The following is a 21,224-nucleotide window of genomic DNA, read 5'->3' on the forward strand; positions in this document are numbered from 1 at the left end:
GACCTGCCTTCCAGGCCCACACTGGACAGAGCATTTGACCTGCTGGGCCTGAGTTTCCCCATGTGTACTTTGGGGATAATGAGTCCTAGGCTGCGTCCTGCAGAACCTGTCTGGAGGATCACGTTGGACAGTGAATACATTTTTTTAAAACTCTGGAAGATACAGTGAAGCTGAGGTCTTATGGTTGTCCCATCACGGACTTGTGACATATATTTGTCTTCCTCATAATGAGGTTGTCATGACACTCTGCCCATCCTTGACTGATCCCTGTTGATTCCCAGGGGAGCCCAGGAATTCCCTCTGGGAGGTTATGCTAGTTTGAATGGGGTCTCTCCCATCCTGACTGTCAACTCGTGTGTGACAGACAATTCTTCAAAGTAAAACGATGGTGTCTAAGGTGACCGCCCTCAGCGCTGCCACCTCCTTCCCTGCCCTGGGCTCTCCAGAAAGCCAACTTGTCTTTGACTCTGCCCCTGTTCTCCTACCAAATGCCAGTTAAATAAGAGGAGTCCTGTGGGTCGCCCAAGGCTGCGGGCTGTGTCAACATCTGGTGGATGAGCTTCTGCTCACCACCTTCAGCTCAATGCCTGCTCCACACTGGGCACAGGGTGTTTTTCTCATGAAGTGTGCTAGGCGTGAGCTGTGGGCCACCAGCAACCCTTCTGGTTTAAGGAGGAATTACCTCTGCAGAAGTTTAGCGTGACCCTCGAAGGGGAGAGTGTGGTGAGGTGGTATGGTTCAGAGGAACAAGTAGCCCATCAAGCCAGCTTTGCCACTTATGAGCTGTGTGACATTGTGGGAGACCAGTAGCCTCTCTGAGCCTCAGTTTCCTCAGATTTGGAGTTTAAGAGCACAGCAGATATACTCACACATCGCAGTGCTGCTACAGTGAGTAAATGAGAAACAGCCAGGGGAGGTACTTCATAGGGATGTCTGATTCACAGAAAGCTCATAAGTGCAAGAAATGTAGTTCTATTTATTCTCTGTTCTAATGGGTATAAACATTTTGTTATCTAACTTGAACATCATACCAACTCAAAGGCAGGTCTTACTAGCAATGACTGGGGCTCAGAGAGGTTTGGCGACTTCACGAAGGTCACACAGCTGTCAGGGGGAAAAGTCAGAACTTGGATCCAGGTCTTCAGACTCTCAGGTCTGGTGTCATCCTAGGGGGCTTGGTGATGGCCATATCTTTAATGTATTTGTGGAGAGTGAAAGGCTGTCAGTGAGTAAGCTTAAGAGAACAGGAGACTTGTGTGGGAAACAGTCGGTATCCATTGATTAGACTGAATCATGTAGAATTGCTAATTTCACCATTTTGAACTATCGAAATCACTATTTGGTATGACTCAACCTCATCCTTTAAGTACACATTCATGACAGTGAGTGGTTAGACAGTGATTCCTAGATTAGTTTGGGATGGGGCAGTGCCTTCCATAGGACAAGGCCATTCCTGGTAGAGACGGAGGGAGCAGGCTGTCCTTCAGCTAGGGGCCCAGGGGACTTCCTGGCTGCTGTGTCCTTTAGCAGGGCCTTGGAGGATGGAAGGACTCTCCTGGCCCTTACCACAGGGGCTATTCAGGAACAGCCTCCTGCCGTGGCACTGGAGCTGCGGTGGCCCTCTGAAGACTGCAGGGACAGCAACAGGCACAAAGAAGTCAGGCTGCATGTGGCCCCAGTCGGGACTCAGAGGAGGAAAGGGAGGGGTTGCGGGGGTCAATGGGTGATGTGCTTCCTCTCCCATAGCTGAGGAGTCCTTGCAATGGCCTTCCTGAGCCATCAGCAGGCCTATGGCCATGTGACTAGGGAGGAGAAGGGATATAGGGTAATGGTCTTCTGGGGCCTGCTGGGCCTGGTCAAGTCTGAGGAGGAGATAGAGAAAACAAAGCAGAGACCCTCCTCTTCATCTGGGGAGAAGGGACCTGATTCTAAACGGAGATATGTGAGGCTTTCTGGGGCAGCGATGGAAGGACAAGGACAGAATAGGTGTCCTTGTTGCCCCATGGAGAATGGGCTTCAGGAAGAATCTGCCTCAGTCATTTTCCAGAAGTGCCTGAGAGGTGCAGGGCCCGAGTCTGGTTAGGTGACAGCGGGTCAAGAGGAGGACATTGTCCTCTCTCTTGTGTTGCTGCAGATGCCACAAAACTGGGCCACGGCACGATCAGGCAGTTCTGGGGCCCCCAGGAGGGCAGCCTTGGGGTGGGCACAGCCAGCCCTGGCAGGATGAGCAACTCTGGGTGGGGGGGAGTGGGGGATGAGCAGGGGGACATGAAGATGCTTGGTGGAGCCTGGGGTCATGGCTGGTATCTGGTTCCTCCCCTGTGATTCCTTCTTGGGGACTCCAAGACAGGACAAGGAAGACTGGAGCCCTCCAGAAACAGATGGGCCCAGGTCCGTAAGCTGAGGATTCAGTCCCCCCTGGATTCAAGCCCAGCATGTGCCTACCCAGCCAGATGCTCCATGAACACAGTTCAGGGGGCCCGAAGACAGCACTGTTACCTGGAGCCCACATACAGCCTCAGCAGGCAAAGGGAGACTCAGAGAAAACATGGGAGGGATTTACAGTCACATGCAGGCAGGGACCAGCTCAACCCTTCTTTAATGTCATCCAGGGAGGGGGCCAGGGATGGAGGGGAGGGGTTGAGGAGCGAGAGGCAGTTATTTTTGGGTGGGATTCACCACTTTTCCCATGAAGAGGGGAGACTTGGTATTTTGTTCAATCATTAAGAAGACAAAGGGTTTGTTGAACTTGACCTCGGGGGGGATAGACATGGGTATGGCCTCTAAAAACATGGCCCCAGCAGCTTCAGTCCCTTTCTCGTCGATGGTCAGCACAGCCTTATGCACGGCCTGGAGGGGAGAGAAGCAGAGACACGTTGTAAGGCTGATCCCAGGCCTCGAGCAAGGCTCACGTGGACACCTCCCAGGAAGCGCTCACTCCCCCTGGACGGCCCTGGCCCTGCACATCCTCTCCCTCCCTGTCACATAGGCCTTGCTCCTCCTCAAGGCTTTGGCTGATGGGGCTGGCTCCCCTCTGTCCATCTTCCTGACAAGCGCCTCTCCCCCTGCTCAGGTGCACCCACAACTCAGAACAGGGAAGAGCATCGTCACTCCACGTCTGCCTCCAGGGCTCTCTCCTTTCTAGTACACGGCTTGAAGCTCCTTGAGGACACGGACCCTGGCAGTGACCTTCACAGTGCCCAGACCCCAAGATAATGCAGCCATTCATGGAACTGCAGTTGTTCATTGGTCGCCTTTAGTTTTCCAAAATAAGTGTCATCTTTAGCTGAAATCATTCATTAATTCAGACACCAAATCTCACAGATCGAAGGAGTCAGAAATTCCTTTGAAACAACTTAGCCCAAACCTTTCTGTGTCAGTATGGATAAATCAAGGCCCAATGTCTAGAAGGTCTTGGGCAAAGTTGAAATTCAGGGTCAGTGACACAACCTCAAGGGAGGCCCCGAAAGTGCCAGCTGCACAGCAGTCCCCTGCCTGGCTTTGCTGTTTGACCACGTCCCGTGTCAGTGAATCACGGGCATCTTCAGGAGCTCAGCCTGGGTCTTCATTTGTTTCCCTCGGCCCCTTCCTCAGCCTCAGGACAGAGCTGCAGCCCCCACACATTCTTCCCTACAGATACCAGGGTGCAACAAGGTCGTCAGGGTGATCTCACCTTGGAGAGCTTCAGGGGTGCCTCCTCTGTGACCCCGGAGAGGTCAGCCCCATTGCTGAAGACCTTAGTGATGCCCAGTTGACCCAGGACGCTCTTCAGATCATAGGTTCCAGTAATGGACAGTTTGGGTAAATGTAAGCTGGCAGACCTGTCGTGCAGAAAAGAAATTCAAGGCATGGCACAGCATTCCTCTTGTTCTTCTGGGACCCACCACAGTGCAAGTGTTTTCTTTTCTGATTATTTCTGCCACTTACTCCTGTGTCCTCCACCCACACTAAGATGGGAACTCGGCTTTGGTTTGTTCTACTTTTAGCTCTTCTACATTGAGTCAAAGAATGTTAACATCGAATGAATCACAAAAGCTTGAAATGCCACCTCCTCTGATATTCTAGGTGTCCTGGAAGCCTGTCTCATCTTGCCCTGTAGTGTTGGGTCACCTGGCCCCCAGCCTGTAACATCCCCAGGGCCCTACACCCAGAGAAACACGGGGCTGGTGGCAGTGCCCAGTGACAACCGTTTAGTGGATAAGAGAAGAGTGACCACACCAGGCTGAGTGCTCCTCTCTGGTTTTCCATGGGGAGACAATGCCACCCTGAGCAGGGTCTGGTGTGAGCGGGCAGCTTGGCTCTGGGCTCTCTGATCCGTTACCCTCTCAGCCTCTTTGTTCTTTCTCAACCCCTGGAGCAGAGACCTCAGGAGGTGCTGGCATGGAACAGAGAAATTCCAGCCTCGATTCCTATTATGAACCCGACACCTTTTGTATTTTCATCTTGGTTTTACAGTGTACAAAACGAACTAGATCAGCAGGGCATGGGCATAATCACGAATGCACACACATACACTAATGTGTGGCTCATGTTTAAGTATCACTTACTACAGGACACCCAATCTAACAGCACCGATAAAGTGACAGAGAAACGCAAGCCTTCTGCGAACATGGCCTGGCTGTTCCAATTCCGAACCTTGCTTTTCTGGGCCTTGCCACACAGGCTCTTCCCCCGTCCCCCCAGGGACATTCTACCCTTGAACTCCACACTCCACTGCTGCCTTTGCCAGGAAGCCCATCTGTTCCTTTTTGGTTCTGCCAGAACGTGTGGTGGTGCTGCTGTCCCTGCCCTGGGCACTGGATATTGGGAAGGGACAGTGTCCACACTGGAGTGGGAAGTCCCCAGGGACGAGACCTTTACCTCCTCACCCCTGGGTACTGTCCTCCTCATGGAGCATGGATGGCGCTGCCTGAACTCAGTGGTGGCCTCATTCTGGAAGCCAAGTTTATACAGAGTAGCAGTGACCCAGGGATGTGGGGTTCACCCTCCTCAGCCCTCTGGCCAGTCCTGATGGGCCTCAGTCCCAACATGGCTAAGAGGTGTGGGCAGCTTCTTGGTCACCCTCAGGTTGGGGAATCACCTTCTGTCTTCATTTTCCAGGAACTTGGTGATGATATCGTGGGTGAGTTCATTTTCCAGGTGCTGTAGTTTCCCCTCATCAGGCAGGAAGAAGATGGCGGTGGCATTGCCCAGGTATTTCATCAGCAGCACCCAGCTGGACAGCTTCTTACAGTGCTGGATGTTAAACATGCCTAAACGCTTCATCATAGGCACCTTCACGGTGGTCACCTGGTCCACGTGGAAGTCCTCTTCCTCGGTGTCCTTGACTTCAAAGGGTCTCTCCCATTTGCCTGGAGAGAGGGGAAGGTGGGCATCACCAGGGGTGAGTGAAGGTTTGGAAGAGTGTAGCAGAATAAAGAAACCATGAGTCCCCTCCCTGAGAAGCCCTGAGCCCCCTTGACGACACACATCCCTCGAGGCTCAGCTTCATCATCTGTAAAAGGTGCTGAAACTGACCATCCAAGCTGCCGAAAAAGATTGTGTGGGGATAATTCAAAACTAGAGGAAGATGCAGAATTTCTACATCGTGGCGATGTCAGGCTAAGAGATGCCATCGTGGCTGTGCATTTTTATTGGAATCATATGTTTATTTGAGGGTGTCTTGGATATTACAAATAAAATGTTGGAGCATCAGGCATATTTGGTACCTTCTGTCTAAGGCTCCCTGCCCCTTGTTAATTGGCAGCTCAGTTATTCATCCAGGGCAAACATTCTGCTTACTATTCCTGAGAGCTTTCCTCATCCTCTAGATTGGCAGGGGAAATGCAGATGCCTGAGCAGCCTCCCCTCTGCCATACCAACAGAGCTTCACCATCGAGGCATGCAGAGTGGACAGGGGCCTCAGGGACCCCTGATCCCAGCTTTCTCATTGGACAGAAGGAGGAGACTGGGGCTGGAGAGGGACCTGGGCCCCCACTAAGGCCACAGCAGAGCCAGGACTTTAGCTGTGCTGACTGCAGCCTGGCTGCTCTCCACTGCCCTCCTTTGCCTCAAGAGCAAGGGAGCCTCAGAGTGGAGGAAGCAGCCCCTGGCCTTGCCTCCCACCTCCCCTCCCCTATGCTGTTTTCCTGGGACAGTGGGAGCTGGCTTAGAATGCCCTGGGGCCCCCAGGACCCTGGCATTTTAACCCCTCAGGGGCAGGAAGGCAGCCTGAGATACAGAAGAGTCCATCACCTGCTGTATGCCACACACCATCCCCACAGTCTTTGTCATTTGTTTAATCCTAAAAAAACCTGACAGCAAGAATGGTATTTTGTCCATGCTAAGATGAGAAATTAGCACCTCAAAGAGGTAGAATGCATTGTTTTTGTCAAAAGCTAATTGTGTTAGAGGCAGGATTTGAACCCAGGTCTTTCAGATTGCAAAACTGATACTGATTCTGGGACACTAGAGTCGTGTAAAGTATGTTCCATGAAACTATCCCTTTATGCAGTGTATTACAATTTGTTCTATAGTTCTAAGCATTATATATTCTACATATACAGTATACACAAGGACATTAAAGGCTCTGAAAAGTTCTGCAGAGCTGTCAGTAGTTTTGACAGTTTAATCTATTATTTCCTCAAATTACTCAATGATGGAAAACATTTTAGTGTTTGTGTGTAGAAAACTGAAGAATCCACGCTGAAAAGCATTGCTATGGCCCATAATGCATTGCCAAGGAGAGTTCAAGAACTGATGGTTTGAGAATATTTTTGCTTGTTTCTATGGGAACAGCTCAGGCTGGTTGAGCAACCTTACCTTTAAAGAAGATGTAATTCACCAGAGCAAAAACTGTGTCTCTGTCAAGCTCCTTGACCAAATCCACAATTTTCCCTTGAGTACCCTTCTCCACGTAATCGTTGATCTGTTTCTTGGCCTCTTCGGTGTCCCCGAAGTTGACAGTGAAGGCTTCTGAGTGGTACAACTTTTTAACATCCTCCAAAAACTTATCCACTAGCTTCAGGCCCTCGCTGAGGAACAGGCCATTGCCGGTGGTCAGCTGGAGCTGGCTGTCTGGCTGGTTGAGGGTACGGAGGAGTTCCTGGAAGCCTTCATGGATCTGAGCCTCCGGAATCTCCGTGAGGTTGAAATTCAGGCCCTCCAGGATTTCATCGTGAGTGTCAGCCTTGGTCCCCAGGGAGAGCATTGCAAAGGCTGTAGCGATGCTCACTGGGGAGAAGAAGATATTGGTGCTGTTGGACTGGTGTGCCAGCTGGCGGTATAGGCTGAAGGCGAACTCAGCCAGGTTGGGGGTGATCTTGTTGAAGGTTGGGTGATCCTGATCATGGTGGGATGTATCTGTCTTCTGGGCAGCATCTCCCTGGGGATCCTCAGCCAGGGAGACAGGGACCAGGCAGCACAGGCCTGCCAGCAGGAGGATGCCCCACGAGACAGAAGACGGCATTGTCCTGCAAGACAGAGATGGGGGGGCCAGGCCCCGAGTCAAGGCACATGATGACTCCCAGTGATCAGGGATTGACACCACGTGGAAGTGCCTAGGGATTATTAAACCAGCCTGTGCCAAGTACTTGCCGACATCAGTAACACTGAAAGAATCAGAAGAATAGCAAAATGTACGTAGTGCTTACCATATGCCAAGCACTGTTCTCCGTGCTCACATGTGTTAATTCATTGCTTTCTTGTAACAATCCCGTGAGGTGCTAATGCTAATATCCTTCTTTTACAGATGAAGAAACCAAAGCCAGAGAGATTAGGTCAGCTATTCAATGTCACTGAGGAAGTAGCAGAACCAGAATCCTACATCTAGGTCCTGCACCCAGGCTCTGGACAGCAACACTTACATCTGCAATGACCCTAAGATGCAAATGGTACAGCCATTGTTTTACAAAAGAAGAAAATGAGGCACAAGAAGAGGAATGGGCCTGCCCACGATTATCCAGGAATCGGGCCAGATCAGAATCAAGAATCATGTCAAGCTGGAAGCCCTTGGAGGGCTTCTATCTAATCCCACTATTTAGTGGCCAGGGAAACTGCTGCACAGAAGGGAAATGCATCTTGCACAATGGCAACAGCTAGAGAGCATGGAGGGGCTGTGATTAAACCTCCTGGGAGCTGTTCCCACCCAACACTCACAAGGATCCTCAGCCCTTAGGGTTTTTTTCCCAAGAGACGGGGCTGTCCCCACAATGCTCTGTGGTCCCAGACACAAGAATAGGCTGATGCTCCTGCAGTCAGCTTACCTGCCGTCTGGGTCACTAATGGTGTCCCAGTTCTGGGCTCTTGCTGTCAGGGGCTTTAGAGACGCTCATCTCTCCTTGAAAGCAGGGGTTTGTGCTGCTTTAAAGTAGATGGAGGAGGTGGGAAGTGAAAAGACACCTCTTTTAACTTCAGATAGACCTGGGATCTAATCTGACTCTGTCACTTTCCAGGTGTATGAGCCAGGACAAGTCATTCATCTCCCTGGTCCTCATTTTGCCTCATACATAAAGTGATGTTTATGTATGAGAATTTAGTGAAATAAGTCTCAACACCAAACCTTACATCAAAAGGATCTGAGAGGGCAACTCTTTTGAGGGAGGGGTTGGCAGGTGTTGCAAATTCAAAGGCTTCAGGTGATAGGCCAGTGAGGAATACATGTTTCATACCCGGGGCTGAGACAATAGGGAGTGGTGGGGCCTGTGGCTGAACCAGCGAGAGCAGGCTCTGCCGAGCAATGGTCAAAGTCAACGTCATCCACAGCAACACAGAACCTGCCCTGCCCCACAGTGATCCTTCTACTCCAGATATGCCCAGGCTTCGGACCACCAGCCTGCAGCCCCCTAGGTAGAACCTGCCGTCTTCACAGATGGGAAAACTGAGGTCCTAGCTGAGGAGAATATGCCCGGCAGCCACATTGTTAACTACTAGTCACAAAACCAAAACCATCATCTTAACAAAATACAAAGAAAAAGGTGTCCTTGAATTTGGGAAATGAAAAACTGGAGAAAAAAAGCTGGAAATAACAAATATTGAGATTCTTCAACCCCCTTGGACTTTTAAAAGTTTCCTTCCAATAAAGCAACAAATGAAGTGCAAAGCTGGTTTCTCTCCACCACCTTTCTCCTGGCCCTCGTGCCTCTAAGTAATCCAAATGGAACAGACCACACATTACATAATACATGTTTGTATTTTTCTTCAGCTAGCTAGTGTTGTTAGAACTAAAGACGGTGCTAAAATTAGTGCTGTATATTTCCATCTCCCTTTAATTTCTCTTTCACTTCCCAACTGAACTTTGTGCAGTCCTTCATGGCTTATGGAAATTCCCCCATCATTACAGGGCTCAGTGGTCAGGAGGGAGTTGGGCCTCTGCAGGGTGGGGACACTAAATATGCTGAGTGGCCTCAGGGCCAGAGGTTGTGGCTTCTAGCCCTGGCAGGGCCATCACTATCCACTTGGCCTTTAGCAAGAATCCTCTGGTCCTGGGGCCTCACTCTCCCCAGTTGTGCAAAGTGGGGCTGGGAGAAGACTTCACTGGGGCCCTCTGTACACTAACATAGGTTTTTGGGTTTTTTTTGAGACAGAGTCTCGCTTTATCTGCCAGGGTGGAGTGCAGTGGCGTGATCTCGGCTCACTGAAACCTCCACCTCCCGGGTTCAAGAAATTCTTCTGTCTCAGCTTCCCAAATAGCTGGGATTACAGGCGTGTGCCACCACGCCTGGCTAATTTTTGTATTTTTAGTAGAGCTGAGGTTTCACCGTGTTGGCCAGGCAGGTCTTGAACTCCTGACCTCTTGATCCGCCTGCCTTGGCCTCCCAAAGTGCTGGGGTTACAGGCGAGAGCCCCTGCACCCAGCCAGGATTCTTGGTTAGAATGGCATCTGGGTTCAATGTAGCAAAACAGATGGAGAATTCCCATGGCTAGGCATGAGACAGGTGCCCTCCTAGACAGGGGAATTCTGGGCTCAAAGGAGGTGGAGAGGCTGGTGCAGGGAGGGTGGCGAGGGGGTGACAGCTGGGAGGAGCACATTCCCCCACACCCATCCATCTTTCCTGGTGTCACATCACCTACTCTGGTTTCCTCCTTTCACAGTGAAGAGTTTGAAGCCCAGAGAGGGTCAGGGCCTTGTTGAGGCTATACAGCAAGTCAGTGACAAAGCTGGAACAAGTCTTGGCTTTCCCAGCACTCAGATCATGAACTGAGACAGCTGTGTCCTCAGATCTCAGATGATGAATGTCAGAATTGGGCTGTGACATTGGTCTCAAGCATCATGTTGGGTTCATTATGCCTCCCAAGCTGTTCCTTATAACATCAGGACTCCAAAACCTGCTCTCTCCTGGCCCTTCTATCAGAGGCAGCACCCTGCACTCCTAAAAGCTAGTGCCTGGGAGGGCGACTGGAGAGGAGAAAGTCGCCATCTGGCCAAGTACCCCATGGTGTACGGACACTGAGGCCAAGCTTTAAACCAAAAGAATGAAGGCTTCATGGTGACATTTCTGGGATCGGGGCAGGTGGGAGCACTCTTTGCGGGGCCAGGGACAGGGAAGCGAGCCACTCCCTGCCTAATCTCACACCATTTCTACCCGGGAGCATAAAATAAGGGACCAAGAGCAACCCGGCAGGGTGCAGGGAAGAGAATCTCGCCTATGGTCAAACAACCTGTTGAACTGGGCAATAAATAAACCCAAGTGTGACCAGGCCCTGTCACTTACTGGCAGGGGGCCTGGGGTAAATGACTTCACTTCTTTGAGCACTAGCTTCATAGCTGTACAATGGAGAAAAGAATCCTTTGGACAGGGATGAGGAATAACTGACGTAATGCATGAGTGGGCACCAGGTGAGGAAGCCCTCCCTGTACCTGCACACAGGTTGAGCTCCTGCCCGAGAGATGGTAGATTTCTTCCCGGAGAGCCTGCTGCACTCCCCAGGACCATTTCAGCAGGAAGGGGCTCCTGCTCAGCAGTGAACAGCATCTGAGTTTGGCAAATTTTCCATTAAATTATCCAACTGTTTACTGCCTGCCAGCTGCCTAACCCTATGCTAAGCAAACATCAGCCTCAGCGTCACCATCATTGCCACACTTACTAACACCTGGTGTTTTACAGGCACCGTATCATCTAATCTGTCCTCAAAGCTTACCCTATAAGGTGCAAATTATTAGCCCTATTTTATAGATAGAAAAATTGAGCCCCAAAGAGCATTAAATAACTCACTAAAAATCACAGAGCTACTTGCTTACAAAACTGAGATGTAATCCTAAATGTTTTGTCTGGGATTAAACAGATTTCACTCCAAAACCTGACATTGAATCATCTCTGTGTACAAAGCTGAAGCCAGAAGTCTTGAATCAGAAAACTTCAGAGGCAGCCTGGCTAAATGAAGAGGGGAGCATCAGTCTGTGGCTAAAATTAAAGGCTCTGAGGCCAGATTGCTCCACGTCAACTTGCTATTAGCTGTGTGACCTTGGACAAGTTACTTAACCTCTCTGAACCTCAGTTTCCTGGAGATGAGAAAGGTGGACTTTGTCATAGAGCTATTGTGAAATTAAATACACATAAAATGCCAAGAAGTGCCTGCTGCGCAGCAAGTTCTCGAGAATACCAGTTCTTGCTGCTATTGCTGCAGGTCTTTTAGAGGCGTTCTATAGGAAACTGGCCACCTTGGCCTTGGTCATCTTTTTGACCTGTCTCCAAAACTCAGTGCAGGAAAAATTAAATCCTTCCAACACTTCAGAGATCAAGGTCGGGTGGGGTGAGGGGAGGGGACAGAAGTCAAAGGTTATCATGTTTTGCCCAAGAGAACAGAGAGGTTGAGCAACTGTCTGAAGTCACCGAGCATCAGAGAGGCCTCAAGTCCAGCCCAGGTTTCCTGTTCCCCATCCAGCGCCTGAGACCCAAGAGAAACAGTGACACTAGGGCCAGGTTCAAGAGTTTGGGGACTGGAGCCAGGTGCCTGAGCCCGAATTATGGATGGTGTGTGATTTGGGGCCAGTTATTCACCTCTCTGTCCCCATCTTCCTCATCTGTAAAATGGGAATCACACTAGTAACTGCCTTGGAGGGTTATGAGGCTTAATCACGCACTGAGCTTAGCCGTGGCCTGGTGCAGAGCGATTATTCAGGAATGCCAGCTTGAGCCCTGGGTGACAGTGCCCCTCACAGCTTCCTGTCCTCCACTGGGACAGGAGGGCCCAGAGGTCCACGGTGCATGGGGAGGCCCATTTTGATGTAAGGCTGAGGCCTGGCACAGGTCTGTTCCTGGTCATATCTGGAGGGGATGGAGAATGTGAGCCGGCGTTCCTCCCCACCCCTCTCTGGACCTTAACCTCCTCATCTATAGAAGGGGAGAAAGATGCATGCCCAAGCAGTAGGAGAGGTGGTGAGGCTTATAGGAGACAACAGACAGGAGCCCCCGACAGACAGAGGAGCTGTGCAAACAGAAAGAAATGGCTGCGCTTTGTTGCTGTTGCTGTATCTTGGCTGGTGTCCCCCATCCTGGGGTGCCAGGACTGCAGACCTAGACACCCTCATCCACTTCTGCTTACAGGAACCAGTGTATCCACCAGGAGGTACCGAGGGGGGACCGGGCAGGACTGGGAAACAGGACACAACCCTCATGGCTGCTGTTATTATGAAAATAGGAGCTCAGCTGCAGCCTCTCCATCTGCCCTGCACCTCAGCAGGCGGATACCCACTCCACAACCCCCCTCCTGCCCCAGACCTGCTGCCTGCCTGGGCCATGGGGAGCTCAGAAGCCTCTCCAGAACCTCTCGCAGTGAAAGGCATACTTACGATTCACTGTCCCAGGTCAGTGGTGGTGCCTGAAGCTGAGGAGACAGGGCCCTGTCCTCGTCCGTATTTAAGCAGTGGATCCAGAGGGGCAACGGGGGAGGCTGCTGGTGAATATTAACCAAGGTCACCCCAGTTATCGGAGGAGCAAACAGGGGCTAAGTCCACTGGCTGGGATCTGAGTCGCCCGCCTACGCTGCCCGGACGCTTTGCCTGGGCAGTGTACAGCTTCCACTGCACTTACCGAAAGGAGTCATTGTACCTGGCTCAGAAACCACAGCGTCCTGTGTCCAAGGTGGAGGGGGTGGCGTGAGTCAGACAGTCTCTGGGAGAGTACCACTTAGCTGGCCCTCTGCTCTCACTGCAGAATCCTTAGTGGCTGTTCCACTGGTAGCAAGATCTACCATTTACTGAGTCACCCCAAAATGCCTGATGCTGAAGACTTACTGCCGCCCTGGGAGATCAGAGTGGGTTAGAGCCCATTTGACAGATGAGGAAACAGGCTCAGAGCGGAGAGACCGCTCATCCAAAGTTACCCAGTCAGCCTTAGACACAAACACCCTCTTGATGGTCCCGATGGAAAAATGGAGCATGACTGAGGCAGACACAACCGTCAGGCTGGCATGGGGGGCCGTGAGACAGGGTAGAGGTGGGGAAGCACATCTGTAAAGAAGAGCTGTGCTGCCTCAGGCAGGCCGCTTCACCTCTCTGAACCAGGAACTGTTTCACCTGCATCCCAAAGAGTTGGAAGTTTCATTCCCAAGCATGCTTGTGAAGTGCCTCGGGTGAAGTGCCTGGCACACAGTAGGCTCTTTATGTGGGTCTGCACAGCCCTCTGCTTAGTCTGCCCCCCAGGCTGCTCAGAGCAGGAGGAGGTTCAATTTTGACCAGCCTCAGGCCTGTTTCTGTTTTTGCTCCTGGAAAACCAGTGTGATCCGTATACAGCTTGGAGTTTCTTTGGATACATGGCCCCCACTCTGGGGTTGTTGGAGGCCTTTGGAGACTGCTGGGGGTGGAGGGGAGGGGAGGTACAGGGTTGAGGCTAGTGGGGCCCCACTTGATTGCAATCCCTTTAAAAGCCTAAATCAGATTGCATCGCCCGCTGTGCAACCCGCAAACCTGCTTGGGAGCTGGCGTACGTGCCGTAGATACTTGCAGAGTGAATGGATGAGTGCATTTTTGCCCCTTCTGTCATTCACCAGTCCCATTTATGCCTCCACCTTGGGGCTCTACCAGGCGAGTGACCCACAGGATCCTCCAGCACACACATTCAGACCAGGGAACCCACTTACTGGCTGTGAGGCCTCAGGTGAGTTGTTTAACCGCTCCGAGCCTCAATTTCCCTATCTGTAAAATGGGGATGGTGACGGTATGTACCTTGTTGAGCTGCTGTGAGGATTAAAATGCAACAGTTCAAGGAAAGCTCAGAGACGGGTACTGGGTGTGCCCAGAAAGCCCCTCCTGATGCTGCCCTCCCTCCCCCGTGTCAGGGGCTGGTGTCACTGGGGTGGGGTGGGCCACACTTGAAGAGCTTTCCTCCAGGCAGTCTCTCATTCAGTTACCCTGTGAAGGGAGTAGGTACCACCCTCCTTTCAGGCAGCGGGAAACTGAGCTCAGACTCCCCTCCCCTTCTCTCTGAGCTCCCTTCCCTGCAGCTCCATCCCCTGGCTTCAGGGCCCCTGTCCTTCCCCTGAGCTGGCTGAATGGATATTCCGCTGCTCTACATCCACTCACAGCTCCAGCACTGGGCTGTGGTTGAGGTCGCCTGCCCTCGGTAGCTCCTGGGCATTTCTTCCCCTCTCTGGGCCTTTGTTTTCCCATCTGCACAATGACCCCCACTCTAAGCCCTGCTGTCCCTCCCACCTGTGGAACTGAGTGAGCAGCAGCAGCAATGTCCCACCTTTCCTGCTCTCCTCAAGCTCTCCTCAAGCTCTGTCTCTTCTGGCAGGCACAGGAGAGTGGCCTGAAGGCTGGCAGGAGGTTGCCGCCCCTCCAACCTGGAATTCCTGGCAGCAGCAGCGGCTAGGCCTTCCTCGGAGGCCCGACCCCCTCCTCCTTCTTGGTTCAGCTCAGGACTCTGAGGGTTGCTGCGTGGAGGCAGTGCATGCCCTGGGCACAGTGCCCAGTTCCTGCCCACCCAGGAAGTAGACTTCGGGTGGAGGCAGTAGGCTGGGGAGGGGCGGGGAGCTTGGACAGGAAGGAGCCTTGCTCATTGCCCGGCAGACACAAGACTGGGCCCTCATAAACTCAGACAGCCCGGCATGTCACCTGTTGTACCTGCCCTTTCAGCTCTGTGACCCGGGACAAGTCACCCTCTCCCTTTGAGTTGCCGCAAGAGGTACAGTCACACTGCCCAGAGGATTACTAGAAATGACAGGCCTCGCCCTCCTGGCACAGACCTGGCACCAATAACTGGCAGGTTTCTGGGGCCAGCTGCAGAGGGAAGAGGACTGAGCCACCTATGAAATGCCCAGTGGGCAGCCCCACAGTTGGGCAGGTCTGTGTGCACTGGGGAGGTGTGTGTCATAGGACCTGGCTGGGTGCAGAAGGGATTGCAGTGGGGAGCTGGGGCTTTTGGAGGAGGAATGAAGAAAGCATGGGTGGGAGCAGGTGAGGCAAGTAAGGGGCTCAGAATTTGGGGTCCTGCTCTTTTGGCAGGGCTCTAGGCTCAGCCCCCGCCCTGCTCTGGACATCCATCCTGGGAGGAAGGGCTAGGATAATCTGGAAAAACGCACCAGGACAAAATCCCGGGGGTTGTGGTGGGAGGGGTGGGAGTACTCAGTGGCCATTCACAAGGATACTGTGCCCCCAGGAACCCCAGGACATGAGGGGGAAAGTCTTGTCCACCTGGTTACTTCCACAATTGTCTATTGCAGCATCTGGGCTGATCCCCCCAGAGGAAATGCATCATGGGAAGATCCTGTGAGCTGGTCATGAGTAAGGGGCATCTGGGGGAGGCCCTGCCCCACCACAGGGCCCTGCCTGGAGATGGGAGCCTCGTGGTATGGGCTGGATAGGGATGTGAGAGTCGAGATTTGGGGTCTGCAGCAAGGAATCGGGTAAGGGGGTGAGGTGTGCCAGTGGCCCTGGGCCAAGTAAATCAAGACTGAGTGGCTGGTCAGGAGAACAACAGTGGACTTCATGGGAGCTGAACTCATTGGCAAAGTGCCCCCGGAGAGTGCTGGCCACCCCACAAACACACACACCCCATGCACACCCTCACTATGCACCCTCCTTCCCAGGCACCAGCTTCCTTCTTTGAGAGTCAGTGCAGGTCACTGGTTAAGGCGTGGGTTCGGGATCTAATATCTGGGGCCAAGCCTTAGCTCCATCGCTCTTTTTGTGAGCTCTTAGACAAGCCACTTAACCTCTCTGTGCCTCGGTTTCCTCATCTGTGAGATAGGAAGACTCTAAGAAGAGTCACTTCCATCAGGACTGTGAAGATCGAATGAGATAATAACATTTAAGCACTTCGGGCAGCCTCTGGCATGTGATGGGCCCCAAGTCAATGCTAACCACCAAAGGCCATGACCTTTGGGGATGTGTCCTGGCTCTGAAAAACCATATAGATGGGTCTCAGGGGTCTAAGTGGGGGAACAACTGCTGCGTTTGGCCCCAGATTTGGGGAGCAGCACCTGTTGTTGAGGGACACCTCCTCAGATTCAAACTTCCATTTTTTCCAGAAAAGGCTGTCAATCCCCTCTTTAGGGGCCGTGCTCATTTTGGCTTTCCGAAGGTGAAGGGCCAGGTGCCTTCAGCATCTTTCTGAGCACCTGTGACATGCAGAGGATGTGGGGTGACTGCAGCTAGGTGGACTTGGATCCGGGGGAGGCCCTCAGTTCTCTGAGCCTTGGTTTCCTCATCTATAAAATAGGGATAAAAGTTTCTTTCCCACATAGCTCTTCTGAGGCTTAGATGAGGCGATGCTGGTGGGGTGTTTAACACAGAGCTCTGTTAGCATAATGGACACTTGTGTCTGTCTTCTTATAACTCATTTAATGAATGAATGAAGTTTGCACCATTTTTTCACCTCCTCCAGTCACCTTTCAAATTAGCCAACTTGCAAAACCCCAGCAGACACACTTTCCTTCTGTGTGTAATCTCCTGAGCCACTTCCTGTGTGTTGGGGAGGGGAGGGGGGATTTCTGCATTTTCTGGAACTATGTGGCCTACTCACAGCTTCTTCTTTTTTTTTTTTTTTTTGAGACAGAGTCTCACTCAGTCACCCAGGCTGGAGTACAGTGGCGCAATCTTGGCTTACTGCAAACTCCACCTCTCGAATTCTGGAATTACGAGCGATTCTCGTGCCTCAGCCTCCAGAGTAGCTGGCATTACAGGCATGTGCTACCAATTCCAGTTAATTTTTGTATTTTTAGTAGTGACAGGGTTTCACCATGTTGGCCAGGCTGGTCTCAAACTCCTGGCCTCAAGTTATCTGCCCGCCTCGGCCTCCCAAAGTGCTGGAATTACAGGTGTGAGCCACTGTGCCTGGCCTTTACTCTTTATCCTTACTCAGACAGAGAAAAATAAGGCAAAGCTATACATTATAAGGGGCAACATAGTTAAAAGAAGGAATAAAAATGCATCTATAGCTTCATCCCCTTCTTGTTAAAATTACTAAAACTCATGTTTTATTGCAGCTAACCTTTTCTGAACTTTATTTTAACTTTACTCTTTTGAGGTTATGGGCCTTGATGGTCATTACGGATTGGAAGCTTTTAAGAGACTCAATGTGTCCTATTGAACTATAATTATGATTTGATTTTAGATGGTCAACTTGTCGCATTTTGGTCAATAGGAACCCTTTTAAGTTATCTCTTTATCCCTTTGACAATCTCTGCTGATGTTTCAGCAACACACACTTGCTTTCTGGCAAGGCCACCATGTTCATGTTCCAGGTCTGTCTTCATTTTCTCTTGCCCCAAGACATGGCACTGGGGTATCTTCCCTGGGAGAGAAAGCAAGCACGCAGTGACAGAGGCCTTCTGGGAACCACAGGCAGGGCTGAGCGTGCAAGACTCACCCTTGCGTGGGGACTATGGGAGACCCAGCAGGACTTGAGGGCTTATTATTCAGAAATACATGCCCTGCGTGGGTGGCTTAGATAACAGAGAGCAATAGGGCTCTTAATTTGCCCAACTCCGACCTTGGCTTCAAATTGTTCGATTTACCCTGTTGACTCCTTCATGTTGATTTTGAGCATTTCTATTTGCTTGGTTTTAACAGGCCTCTTGCTTCCGAAATTTTATAATATAAATCTCCAAATACTCCAGCGGTGGTGTGCCACCCCCTGAATCGCGGCTGAGACTCCTTGCACATGTGGCCTCTGCCAGGCCCTGTCTTAAACACTTCACATGCATCACCTCACTCTATCCTGTGCAGTGAGTACCACTGTTACTGCCTTAGAACAGATGAGGAAACTGAGGCAGAGTGTTACCCTGATGCTGAAACAGGTACCTCCCTCTCTCCCTTCCTCTCTTTCTCCCTGCTTGCTGCTTCCCCAACACTTCCTACACATCCCTTTGTAACATTAGCATAATAGGTAACAGTGAGCACGTGGCTCATGCCAGAGCCATTCCAAGCATTGGTTACAGATTAACTCCTCGTCCTCACATCAAGCCTATGAAGTCGATATTTCTGTTATCCCATTTTACAGATGAGGAAACTGAGGTTCATAGACGTCGAGCACCTAGCCCTGGGTCACAGAGCTGGCAAGTGGTGGAGGGCAGATTCTAACCAGGCTGTGAGGCGCATGACCCCAAAGCTCGGTGGCATCACCAGGCTGCAAGTAACCGGAGGGCAGGGACTGTGTTTTTTCCATCTCTGTGGCTTTGTACTGAGCACAGAATAGGTGATCAAAGGTTGCTTCATGAACTGAGTTAATCAAGGGTCATGGAAATGGAGCATTTCTTTAATCAGATGGCTGAGGTGTCTTGCCAGGGTGAAAGTGTGAAAACCTCGCATATGCTAAAAATTTGTGTGAGGCGTGCAACTTCTTAGGTAAAACAAAACAAAACAAACCCAGTTGCTTTACTATTCAAGCTGGAGTCTAACACTGAGGAGGGAGAGGTTAGCAGGCTGCCAAAGCCTCCCAGCCAGGACCTAGAACCCAGTGCCAAGCCTGGGCTTCCACCACCACCCAAGCTGCTTTTCCACCCGCCTCCTCTGTCTGCCCCATGAGAAAAGGGAAACAGTCCGTGGGAGGACAACAGAGCAAGGACTGAGCTGTCATGATGAAATCCACCGATGAGGAAGGAGGTTGCATCATGCCCCTGCCGTCCCTCTTTCCATTCTCCTTGTGGCCCCTCCTGAGCTCATCAGCAGAATCCCAGCCAAAGCAACCCATTTGCTGATTGGTTACCAGATGCCAAGGCCTCTGTCAGAAATTTGTGCTCACAAACGTTCATTTCCCCAGCAGCTCTGCAAGGAAGGTTTTATTATACCTACTTTGCACGTTAGGATTGAAGAGAATATATAAGATGACACTATAAAGCCTCTCTTGAATCCTCCAGCCTCTCCGCATCTCCCCTGTGCCACCATCCCTTCCCTGTCTTTATCGATTTACTTTTTATGGACGTGTTATTTGCATGTAGTAAAACTGTAACTCCTAAATACACAGCTCAATACATTTTTACATGTGTGTGCATCTGTGTAACCGCCATTCTGAGCAAGACAGAGCAAATTCTCCCATCCACAAAGTCCTCTTTCTATCAATGCCTCCCGAAGGTAACTTCTGTTCTGACTTCTGTCTCCATAGACTGGTTTTTCCCCTTCTAGAAGAGCATGTAAATGGGATAATACACTACCTATGTTTTTGTGTCTGTCTTCTTTAGTTCAACATCATGTTTCTGAGATTGATCTATGTTGTCACCAATATCAGCAGTGCGCTTATGCTTCTTGCTGAGTCCTATTCCATCATCATTGTGTGGGCGGACCACAATTAGCCCATTTATTGACGGATGTCTGGGTGGCTTCCACTTTGGTCTGTTATGGGTGAAGCTTCTAAGAGCATTCATGTAGAAGTCTTTGTATTTTCATTTCTTTTGGGTGGAATGGCTATTTGTAGAGTATGATAAACTGTATTAAAAAAAAACCCTTTTCTCTCCACTCCTTGCTTTTTTTTTCTCTTCCCTCCTTCCCCTTTCCTTGCTGTCTTGGAAGGATTCCAGGAATTAAGTGGAAAAGAAGTTGGACATAGTTCAAATCCCAGATCTGCCATTAACCACCAAGAACCCAGAGCCAGCGACTTCATCTCTTTTATCTGTGGAATGGAGATGATAGTCCTGACATGGTGGGGCTGCAGTGAGGATTACAGAAAGTGCCTGGTTGAATAAATAGTATTTCCTTACTCTTTCACCCTTGGGACTGTGTGCCTGTTGTTCTGATGGCAGACAAATAGAAATTTAATTCAGTGAAATGACTGGGAACAAAAAACAACGTTGTTTCAGGAATTTAGTGAAAAATCAATGATTTCCATTCTACTTAAACTGGTTCTCAGGACCTGGTGTTTGGCTCTCCCCCTCAGAGAGCATTGGGCAAGAAGGGCAAACACAAGCTGGGTCAACATCAGCCCTCCTAGCAAACAATGAGGACGTGTGTGTTCTGGACTTCTCTGCCCTCTTCCCTCTACCTCTGTTCTCCAGCGGGGCTACGTGGGAAGCAGATAGGGAAGACTCTGTGAAGCGACTTAGGCTCAGGTACTGGAAGCTGTGTGGATGGGATTCAGGGAGCTGAGGACACACTTGGAGAAGTGCCCTGCTCTCTTGGGATGGAGCCCTCAGGTTTACCAGGGAGGGCAGGACAAGGCACTTAGGGTGCTGAAGACAAACAGTTTGCACACATGTGCATACACACACTAACATCCCCACATAAGACTTTTGGGGGTCTCCTTCCTTATTTTAAGGGCTCTGGAAAAAATGATGGCCCTGACACCACCTGAAATAGTGTAGACTATGGCAAGATTATGAGATTTGGGAGAGTTAGAGCTAGGCTCAGTTTACTGTGGACAAGTTACTTAACTCCTTATGGCTTTACTGTCCATATGTGTAAGTGGAGTTTATAGTTCCGAGGTCTTAGAGTTGGTTGCTAAGATGAAATAAATGAGTACACAGAGAGGACCAGCATAGAGAAGACACTTCATAATGTCAAAGGTATTTGAATAAGAGTGACTCCATCTTGAATAGGGACTGGTTAGAATGAGGCTGAGACTTACTGGGATACATTCCCAGATTGTTAAGAGATTCTAAGTCACAGGATGAGTTAGGAGGTCAGCACAAGGTCATAAAGAGCTTGCCAATAAAACAGGTTGAAGTAAAGAAGCTGGCCAAAACCTACCAAAATCAAGATGGCCACAAGAATGACCTCTGGTTGTCTTCACTGCCACACTTTCACCAGCACATAACAGTTCACAAATGCCATGGCAATGTCAGGAATTTACTGTATATGGTCTAAAAAGGGA

General features: G+C 50.7%; 1 protein-coding gene across 14 annotated transcripts, besides 2 other annotated features; it reads right to left on the reverse strand.

Moving 5' to 3' along the window:
• On the reverse strand, positions 957-14,845 carry SERPINA1 (serpin family A member 1). Of its 14 annotated transcripts, none has more exons than NM_001127704.2 (7): positions 14,667-14,845; positions 13,029-13,220; positions 12,770-12,870; positions 6,802-7,451; positions 5,081-5,351; positions 3,674-3,821; positions 957-2,850 (listed from the first exon to the last, which is right to left on the reverse strand). In NM_001127704.2, exons 4-7 carry the CDS (start codon positions 7,445-7,447, stop codon positions 2,659-2,661), a joined length of 1,257 nt encoding a protein of 418 aa, NP_001121176.1. In that variant the 5' UTR covers positions 7,448-7,451; positions 12,770-12,870; positions 13,029-13,220; positions 14,667-14,845; the 3' UTR covers positions 957-2,658. The 14 variants fall into 14 exon arrangements, with proteins under 14 accessions (NP_001121176.1, NP_001121175.1, NP_001121177.1 ...); NM_001127703.2 differs by having other exon boundaries at positions 12,770-12,873; NM_001127705.2 differs by having other exon boundaries at positions 13,011-13,220.
• Positions 14,300-14,801: an enhancer, noted in NCBI's record as "H3K4me1 hESC enhancer chr14:94856427-94856928 (GRCh37/hg19 assembly coordinates)". NCBI's record gives its function as "activates a minimal SCP1, AML or CMV promoter by ChIP-STARR-seq in naive H9 embryonic stem cells {active_cell/tissue: H9 hESC(naive)}" and the evidence as "EXISTENCE:reporter gene assay evidence [ECO:0000049][PMID:30033119]".
• Positions 14,802-15,301: an enhancer, noted in NCBI's record as "H3K4me1 hESC enhancer chr14:94856929-94857428 (GRCh37/hg19 assembly coordinates)". NCBI's record gives its function as "activates a minimal SCP1, AML or CMV promoter by ChIP-STARR-seq in naive H9 embryonic stem cells {active_cell/tissue: H9 hESC(naive)}" and the evidence as "EXISTENCE:reporter gene assay evidence [ECO:0000049][PMID:30033119]".

This window comes from Homo sapiens, chromosome 14 (assembly GCF_000001405.40).
Source record: "Homo sapiens chromosome 14, GRCh38.p14 Primary Assembly".
NCBI classification, from domain to species: domain Eukaryota; kingdom Metazoa; phylum Chordata; class Mammalia; order Primates; family Hominidae; genus Homo; species Homo sapiens.

Coding starts and splice junctions, on each gene's coding strand:
- SERPINA1 (NM_001002235.3), bottom strand. CDS start 7,447: ATGCCGTCTTCTGTCTCGTGGGGCATCCTCCTGCTGGCAGGCCTGTGC. Junction 3,822..5,080: donor CTGGAAAATGAAGACAGAAG/GTGATTCCCCAA, acceptor TCTGCACGACAG/GTCTGCCAGCTTACATTTAC. Junction 2,851..3,673: donor CACCCCTGAAGCTCTCCAAG/GTGAGATCACCC, acceptor TCTCCCCTCCAG/GCCGTGCATAAGGCTGTGCT.